This window comes from Homo sapiens, chromosome 13 (assembly GCF_000001405.40).
Source record: "Homo sapiens chromosome 13, GRCh38.p14 Primary Assembly".
Lineage (NCBI taxonomy): Eukaryota > Metazoa > Chordata > Mammalia > Primates > Hominidae > Homo > Homo sapiens.
In genome coordinates, this window is record NC_000013.11 from 111,613,797 (window position 1) to 111,623,010 (window position 9,214).

Below are 9,214 nucleotides of genomic sequence, written 5' to 3' on the forward strand. Positions count from 1 at the left end.
AGAAGGTGTGGTTGGAATGAGAGGTCAGTGCAACACCAGGCTTTGAGTCAGTTCCCTGTGAGGATCTAGGGGACCCATGGAGGTGCACCTCCCTGTGGACCCAAACACCACACAGAATTGCTGCTGATTTTCCTGAGACGGTAAGCAATCCACTGTCGGTTTCGATCAAAGCCAAATGCAATTTCCCCTTACCTCTCCTGGTAGTTTGATTTTATGAAAAATTTGGTGCACATTGAAATTAAGAATTCTGCCTAGATCTGCACTTACATGAACGTCTCATAGACTATTTGGAAGTCACGCAAGAATAAGGGCAGGTCTTGCTCATGTGACTCTGCAGACACTGAGGGACATTTAATATCCTGGGTCCCTATGGCCAAGTGCCAGAGTGAGCCCAGCTGTTGGGACAGTCCAAAGCAGACCAGCTCATTTTTAAATGCCCCCTAGGGCACGTGCCAGCTTTGCAAGGACCGTCGATCAGGTGTTGTCAACGGCACCGGGATGAGATACTGTAGGACTGGAAATTACACAATCTGCTTGGTGCAAATTACATAAGCATTGACAAATGATTTCTTTATTAGGGGTCCAGCCTCAAAGTCTCTTGGTAGTTCTGCTTGTCAGATGAGGGGTGGTGATTTCCTGTTTCTAAAGGGGGTAAGCCCAGGGCATGGTGACACCCTGGAGGTGCCCTGCCACTGCCTCTTGTAGACAGAGCGTCAGCAGCTGTTATTATGGAATTTGGGATGTTGGCATATATAGGTTTAGGTTTACTGACCTTAATTTTAAATTGACACTTGCAAAGCCCATTTTTGGTAGGGACAATTTTCAATACATATACATTTGTCACAGCTATGGTTTGGGTAGGAAGCGGGGATGTGTCCTTCCTGAGTCCCCAACACATAATGTACATCCCTTGGGCGACGTCCTGATATTTACCATAAACTGTCAAGGTGAGTATGATATCACCTTTTTCTCCCAGTTGAAACTGAAACACAGAAGTTAAATATTTACCAGCTCAGGGTGAATAAACTCTGAGTTCAGCTCCTGCGTGGTACCAGCCATGTTGCAGCATTTTCTGACTCCTTACTTGTCCTTAACAAACATGACAATATTCTGCTCTGACAAGGCTAGGAATACAAATGCTTTGTGTGGGAAAAAGTTACACTTTAAATTATTCAGGTAGAAATTATACAGTTGTGAATTGCACATCGATTTCCATTCCTTTCTGACTTGTCAGTATTTTCACCAAGTTTATTCGTTAGCAACTTTACCCAAATAAGAACAGCAGCTGGAGAAATAAAATTAGAGTAGTTAATTACATTATTTTTTTAAGTTCTGGTAAAATGGTTGATGGGTGATGAAGCATGCATTTGATGAAAATGGATGATTGGGATTTGATTTAGCCATACCCTTTCTGTTCTTTGAGAATTGATGGTTTAGATGCCCTAAGTACTATTTTATGTAATGAAATAACTTGCAGCTTTTTTGACAGACAGAGCAATATTTCTTTACCCCAAAGTCTATCATTGTGGCTTTTGAGCTTCACTTAATATTTTGAATAATGAAATAGAAGAATCTTTGTTTGGCAGTTTGAGAGCAGAACATCACTGAAAGATGAAATTGCTGGAGTTAATCAGGCTGAATAACACTGACATTTGCAAGAGGAGATTGCCAGGGAATTAGGATGGGAAAAATGTTCTTAAAGTCGTACAGAGTCTTCTGTGAATTTAAGGGGTGAAAAAACTTAAAAGCACAATTAAGTTTTCCAGGAAGCATTTTTCTCCATGGAATAGAATTTCTGCACCTGATTCCAAGCTCAGTGTGCTTGAAGGCCACTGACAGCCCCGCATCTCAGACGCAAATACCCTGAAGGGGCAGCCTGTGAGTCACTGGTGTCCATGTTTCACTGAATTCTTCTTTTAGGTGTGGAGGAGTCGCTTCTGTTTCATTTCTGATCTAACACCCTGTTGTTCCTTAGGCTTAAAACCCATCCGGGAAGGCATCTCTATGGTGCCCCAAACTGACTTCAGCGACGGGCTTGAGCCACATTCCCCCAGCCTCGGCGGGTACTTTGGAGTCTCTGTTTTGATTTGGAGGCTTGTTTTCTGATAGGAGATTCAATTCTGTCAATTAAGGTAGAACACCTGCTTTTTCTCTGATTTTTCAGTAGATTTACATTTTGAAAAGCAAAGCAGGTGCTTGAATTTTGTAGCATTATAATGAAATGGAAAATTGTCAATGTCACCAAAGTGATTGAAAAATTTCCAAAACGAAGTTGAATTCATGAAATGTGATGAGGCCATGAGGCCAAAATCCCAACATGGCTTTCAAGGAGACGTTCCACCGGGGAGCTTGGGGAGGACTGTGGAGAGACGGCTTCCTCCTGGGGCCCTGCCACCCCAGGACTTCAGCATTCCAGGAGGGGTTTGAAAAAAAGATGGAGTGCTGGGATACAGTTTCATGTGGTATATTTAATACAGCATTTGTGAATAGCAGATTGTCAGAAACTCTTAGGAGCGCTATTATATCTGTGATTCTGGAGCCAGGAAGAGACATGGGAAATTGCAGCAATTACAGTCCCATCTCATTGATTAACGCCGATTGCAAAATAGTCACGAAAATATTGGCACTGCAGCTTCAGTCTGTTTTACCTAATACTGTTCATGCCAATCAAATGGGGTTTACCAAAGGAAGGCACTAAAACAACAGCCGAGAAGCATTTATCATCTCGATGTCCATAACTTAATGCAGGGAACGCAGTCGGTGGCCGATCTCTCCCGAACCGACCTCCTTCCTATCCTGAGCTTCATCTGCAATCACTACTTCTTGGCTTAATCACAGGAAACAAAGATAGTTAACTTTACAATGTTACATGTTTTGATATGTTAAAAAAAAAAAGCCATCAAATCGTATAGTACAATTACACATCATCTGGTGAATCACTGGGAAAGACCAATCTTGAAAACCAGCCAATTTCTTCCCTGGAAAGAATAATTAATTCAGGAGTGATGTTTCTATTTATACATCTTTTCAAGAAAAGTGAGAAGTTGTACCCTGAGGAAGTTTCCGAGCATGTAAAAGTTGTTTACATTTCCAGGTTTTATGTTCTATTTTTCTAAATCTTTTGTTTCACAAGAGAATTTGTTATATATCTTTATGTGGAAACATTTGTGGTCAAAGCAAAAACTGTAGGAATAAAATTCAAATCATTTTGCAAAGGTTTTTTGGTTTTTTTCCCCTGATCTCCATTTTCTGCCCCTGGCCCCTGCCTCTGTATTAATGTACATACAAATTTATGTTGAACAAAGAGTGACAGGAGTTTGAAAAGACAATGAGGCCCTTTTGTCCCTGGCCTTTGAATGTATACTAGGAGGGAATTCACATTAATTGAGTGTATACTAGGAGGGAATTCATATTAATTGAGCATATACTATGGGCCAGGTACTGTGTCAGGCATTGTGTGACTGTCACGTTTTCCAGTCCTAGCTCAGGGAGAAAGGTTGTCCTGTTTCCATTTTATGGATAACAAAAGTGAGGTTCAGGGGGTGTAATTTGCTGGAGGGCACCTGCTGCTAAGCGGAGGAGTCTGGTTTCTAGGACTTAAACATCCTTCTTTCTTCCAGCTTCACAAGATTCTTCCACTTGGCGTTCCCGTGTTTACTCCCTAGAGTGATGTCTTTAATCTAACTGGTAGAGAAAGAAAGTGCCCTCCTAAGTTTATCTGAAAGCTGATCAAAGTCTAAGGATACATAAAAGTCATTTCTGTTTTTATCTGCAAGGCATATACAAAATGTGCATGTGGTCAGCACAGCATTACAAGCCAGTCAGCACTAGCCCTGCTCTCAGAGAATCTAGACAAGGGTCAAGGGACTGAAAAATCTTACACAGATAAAAAGAACAACCAAGGTTCATCTCATGCCATAGAAATGGAGAAAATCCAGCAGGAGTAGCAGTTGGAGAGAGAAGGTACAGCACAAAGAGTGAACCAGGAAAGTCTTCCTGGAAGAGGAAAATTTTGATTTGAGATTTGGCTTTTTTTCCTCTGGTGCTTCATGAATATATAGCATTAAAAAAACCATGAAATTGTGAGACCTCTGACTAGAGGGGTAACCAATGTTAATTGCTAATTTGTACGTGTAATTATTGGAAGGCCCTGATAGGCCGCATCATTCCTGAGGTAGAGAGACTGTTGTAGAGTGTGTACGTATGGATACGTGGGACCCTCACAATGTCTGTTTGCCATTCACTTCATTCCCACAGAACATAGCCCTTCACCATATGCACAGAAACATTGAGTGTTATCATTGAAAAATGTCTTACTGAACTTATGGGGAAAATAATGTATTTCATGGATTATTAGTGAGATTGGACAGACGTTCACATTGATGACATATTAATCTTCCTTTTCCTTTTAATTCTCTACTTACAAATTTTTCCCATTTTTCTACTGGATTATAGAGTGTATATAATAACATGATCTTTATGTCTCGAGAGTGAACCGTTCTCTGTTATTTTGAAGTTATTTCTGTTATGTTGAAGTTATTTTTTCCTAGTCTTCCATTTGTCTCTCATTTTGCCTTTGACATCATTACATAGACATTGATGAGAGTCGTAGGGGAGGAAAAATTTAATTTTCCTTACCCATTGCTAGGTTCATGGCTGAGGCCCCTGTAACAAAAGGCAGATTAACAGGAGAAGAGCAGACATATCTATTTAATGTCAGTTTAACATGCCACAGGAACCTTTAGAAATGGGGACGTATGATTGGACAATGAGGTGGATAGCCTAGCAGTAATAAACCAGGGAACAGGGAGGCTTAGCAGGGCCTGTGTGTTCTGAATCTTCTCTGTGTCCTTGTCTTTAGAGATAAAAATGTTCCTTTCCTCTGGGCATAGGGAGCACACCTCTCCCACGAGGGTCTCAGGACCAGCTTCAGCGGAGCAGGGTGGAGAGAGGTGAGAGGAGCTTTCCTGCTTCTGCTGTTTCCTCAAAGGCCAAGGGGCTGTGTCCTGGGCTGCTTGTCCTCAACCCGCTCTGCCTTTTTGTCTAGAGACACAGAAGGCCTTTTTTATCCCCATTTCATGATTACCCCTTTTCCGTTTGCTTGGAGAGGACGCAGCAGTGGCACTTGCGGCTGCAGTGTTTACCCCGAGATAACTTTGTCATGAAATACCTCGCTTTTGTTATTTTTGCATCACTGTAATATATCAACTTTGGAAACAAAAGACATTCTATTTATAGCATTCTGTTTTTAGTAACGATACTTTCCATTTACAAAATCGCTGAAAATGTCAAATCCTAGAAAACGTGGCATTCTCACATGTGATACGAACATCATTCTCAAACAGTTGTTGGCCGAAGATTCATTTGATGAGTCTGATTTTTCCGAAACTGACAATTCTGATGATTCAGACGATTCTGATGTTAGCTCTGTTTAGAAATAACTCCAAGAACAGTTTTTATATTTTACTTTTACCTTGAAAATCAGTCAGATTTGCTTCAGCCTCAAAGAGCGTGTTTATGTAAAAGTAAATGAGCGCCAGCAGTGAGCTGCACTTTATTTTTCTAAATGGGCAAAGGGTTAATTTTTTAAAAAGTGTTCTGTGATATCTTTTAGTACTTTTATAGTATTTTGTGTTTATCACATCTGAAATTTATTTTTGTGTAGAATATTTAATATTTTTGAAAGGAGTAGTTCAAAACCACTTGTTGAATTGACAAATTTTTCCTTGATATAAAAATGTCACCTCTACCGTATACACCAAGATGCATACATGCATTTCCTACTTCTAGGCTCTTCCTCTTGTTCCATTTATTGAATTTTTATGTTTCTGAGCCAACACCACAATGTTTTGAGCACTACAGTTATCAAATATTCTTTGATATTTTACACTGCTAATTATTGGTTTTTCCTGTAGATTTTCTTTCCTAGATGAATCTTGAAATTAGCTAGTCAAAGTCTGTAAAATTTCCTTTGGGATTTGGATGTGGATTGGATTGGATTAATTTGGAGAACTAACATTCTGATGATAATGTTTAGCGGTTTGATTTTCATTTTCCGTGTTATCATTTTCAACTGCACTTGCTTCGACCTTCCCTTGGCTCTCTGGGAGAAAGTCTTCTGTCTCTCCCCAGCAGCATTGATTCCATTTTCTACCCGGTCCACTCTGCTTTTTGCTGCCTTCAGTGCATATTTTAACCCTGCTCCTGTTGCTTTCCCTATGACGCTCTTTCCTGTTGAGAAGTGTCAAGTAAAACTCTCTAAAAGTGCTTTTCACCTCCTTTAGTAGATAATTTCCAAGGGTACAGTTTTCCACTGAATCTTAGATGATTATTCCCTTTCTCCTGTGTTGCAAGGTGTCCCTGCAGAGACATATTAAATGAGAGCCCTCTGGGAGCTGGTGGTGGGCTTAGCGTGGTGCACGTTGAACCAACTGCAGGATTCCAATCTGAAGGGAGGTTCTCCTGCAGGGGGATGCTGCTGATGGACTACTGATACTGATGGGTACTGACAAGCACCAGGCCTGGAGAAGCAATTCTTTACACCAGGATGAACAAACAGAAAGGACATCATGATGGAAGCCGTGGGTGTATTTTGAATGCAGCAGAAAGGAAATGTTAGCCCCACACTTAATGGGAGATATGGTGGTTTTTTCACTGGCTGTGGGATTTCACATAGAGGCAAGAATGTGCACACTCTCTGATCACAGAAAACTGACTTATCACGGGAGGAGGCAGACGGCTCAGAAAGGCGAGAGCTCTAACTTCCATGAAGTGGCAGAGTGATGTGGTGTGTGTCTGTGGAGGTGGCATATCACGTGTCATGGCGTCTAATAATGTGGTGGGTTAGAACATGGTGAGACCAACGTCTGGAATGGCCAGGCTGGCTTCTGCCTGCATCCCTGTCCTCCGTGGGGCTGTGAAGGGCCCCGGCGGCAGGGCCCTCTCCTGGGGGGCTGTGGGAATGCCTGGCTGCAGGTCAGCCCACGGAGGAGCTTTGACACTGGCCCAGTGTGAGCTCATGGGGACACCCATACCTGTGTGAATGTGTGAGAGGACATCTGTGCGTGCCAGTGGGGAACCAGGATGTGTGTGTGTGTCTGAGGTGTGTGTGTCTGTAGGTGTATGGTGAGTGTGTGTTTACGTGTTTGTGGGGCATATGTGTCTCTTGTGGGAGGTTGGAGGTGTGTCTAGGGGAGGCTGTGTGTGTGCATCTGTCTGTGATATGTGTATCTGATGTGTGTGTGATGTGTGTGGGCATGTGTCTGTGGTGTGTGTGGTGTGTGTCTGGTGTGTGGTGTGTGCGTGTGTCTGTGGTATGTGTATCTGTGGTGTGTTTTTGTGTCTGGTGTGTGTAGTGTGTGTTGTGTGTGTGTGGTGTGCGTGTGTGCATATGGTTTGTGATGTGTATGGTGTGTGTCTGTGGTTTGTGTGGTATGTCTGGTGTGTGTGGTGGGTGTCTGTAGTATGTGGGTGTCTGTGTGTGTGGTGTGTGTGTGGTATGCGTGTGGTGCGTGTGTCTGTGGTGTGGGGGTGTGTGTCTGTGGTGTGTGTGTGGTGTGTGTGGTGGGTGCCTGTAGTGTGTGTGTCTGTGTGGTGAGTGTCTGTGTGGTGTGTGTCTGTATGGTATATGTATGTGGGGTGTGGGGCGTGTGTGTGGGGCTTGTGTGTGTGGTAGGTGTCTGTGGTATGTGTGGTGTGTGTGTGTCTGTGTGGTGTGTGTCTCTGTGGTGTGTGTGTGTGGTATATGTACATGGGGTGTGGGCGGGCGTGTGTGTGTGGTGTGTGTCTGTGGTGTGTGTATTGGTGTGGTGTGTGTGTCTGTGTGTGTGTGGTGTGTCTGTTGTGTGTGTGGTGTGTGTGTGTCTGGTATGTGTGGTGTGTCTTTGGTGTCTGTGGTGTGTGTGTGTGGTGCGTGTATCTGTGTGGTGTGTGTGTGGTGTATGTATGGTGTGTGGTGTGTGTGTCCGTGGTGTGTGTGTGGTGTGTGTTTATTCGTGGTGTGTGTGTGTGTGGGGTGTGTGTCTGTGTGGTGTGTGTGTGGTGTGTGCGCGTCTATGTGGTGTGTGTGGTGTATGTCTGTGGTGTGTGTGTGTCCGTGGTGTGCGTGTGGTGTGTGTGCATCTCTCTGTGGTGTGTGGAGCACACAGTCCCAGCTCTCCCTCTGGTGCCCTCTGCCCATGTCTCCATCAGCCCCACGTGTCCCCCTCGTCCCTAGGCCGCATCCGACTGTCCACGTTGCCCTCTGAGGTCCGGCGCCTCATCCATCAGGAAACTGGGTCTTGGGGCCGCACAGGGGACAGCACCCAGCCCGCATATGCAGGCGGCTCTGGGGGCTCCCAAGGTGGCCTCCCTCCCGGCCAGGGCGCCTTCCATTCTTCCTCATTCGCGGCCATGGCCCTTGCTGGAAGCTCAGGCAGAAGCCCCTGGCATGTCTCATATGGCTCCTGAGGTGGTCCCAGCCCCTGGGACCTGCGGGGCGAATGCGGACTGGGAGCCTCTGCCCCAAGCCACATGGGCCTCGATCCCCACTCGGTAGCCCAGGCATCAGGTGCTGCTGCCCAGAAGGTCCCTGTCAATCAGACAGAAACGGTCCCTTGGGGCCCGGCCTCCTGGGTGCTGCCCGGGCGCTGCCATCCACCCCTCACCAGTGTGGGCCTCGCACCAGTTTGGCTCAGTGAGGAGCACCGGCGAGAGGAGGCCGCTGTGCCTCCCAGGTTCTCCCGGTTCTGCAGCCCAGCCTTCACCTGTTCTCAGGCCACAGCCAAGCTGCTGAATTCCTGGCATGTTTTGCTTGCTTCCACCTGGGACTGAAATTTTAAACACTTGACCTCCATCCTCCTTAAATTCACACATCATGCAACGTGTCTTACAAGAAACCAACACAGGCCGGGCGCGGTGGCTCAAGCCTGTAATCCCAGCACTTTGGGAGGCCGAGATGGGCGGATCACGAGGTCAGGAGATCGAGACCATCCTGGCTAACACGGTGAAACCCCGTCTCTACTAAAAATACAGAAAATTAGCCAGGCGCGGTGGCGGGCGCCTGTAGTCCCAGCTACTCGGGAGGCTGAGGCAGGAGAATGGCATGAACCCGGGAGGTGGAGCTTGCAGTGAACCGAGATTGCGCCACTGCACTCCAGCCTGGGCGACAGAGCGAGACACCGTCTCAAAAAAAAAAAAAAAAAAAAAAAAAAGGAAACCAACGCAGTTCCTGGCC

At 45.1% G+C, this 9,214-nt stretch overlaps 1 long non-coding RNA gene across 1 annotated transcript in view, besides 3 other annotated features; it reads left to right on the forward strand.

The window, feature by feature from the left end:
* LINC02337 (long intergenic non-protein coding RNA 2337) overlaps nt 1-9,214 on the forward strand; it is a 46,071-nt gene that overhangs the window by 17,788 nt on the left and 19,069 nt on the right. The gene's annotated exons all lie outside the window — the stretch shown is intronic.
* Nucleotides 1,924-2,945: an enhancer, noted in NCBI's record as "VISTA enhancer hs1246". NCBI's record gives its function as "enhancer in: dorsal root ganglion[4/12]" and the evidence as "EXISTENCE:transgenic organism evidence [ECO:0001131][PMID:17130149]".
* Nucleotides 7,798-8,323: an enhancer, noted in NCBI's record as "H3K27ac-H3K4me1 hESC enhancer chr13:112273941-112274466 (GRCh37/hg19 assembly coordinates)". NCBI's record gives its function as "activates a minimal SCP1, AML or CMV promoter by ChIP-STARR-seq in naive H9 embryonic stem cells {active_cell/tissue: H9 hESC(naive)}" and the evidence as "EXISTENCE:reporter gene assay evidence [ECO:0000049][PMID:30033119]".
* Nucleotides 8,324-8,848: an enhancer, noted in NCBI's record as "H3K27ac-H3K4me1 hESC enhancer chr13:112274467-112274991 (GRCh37/hg19 assembly coordinates)". NCBI's record gives its function as "activates a minimal SCP1, AML or CMV promoter by ChIP-STARR-seq in naive H9 embryonic stem cells {active_cell/tissue: H9 hESC(naive)}" and the evidence as "EXISTENCE:reporter gene assay evidence [ECO:0000049][PMID:30033119]".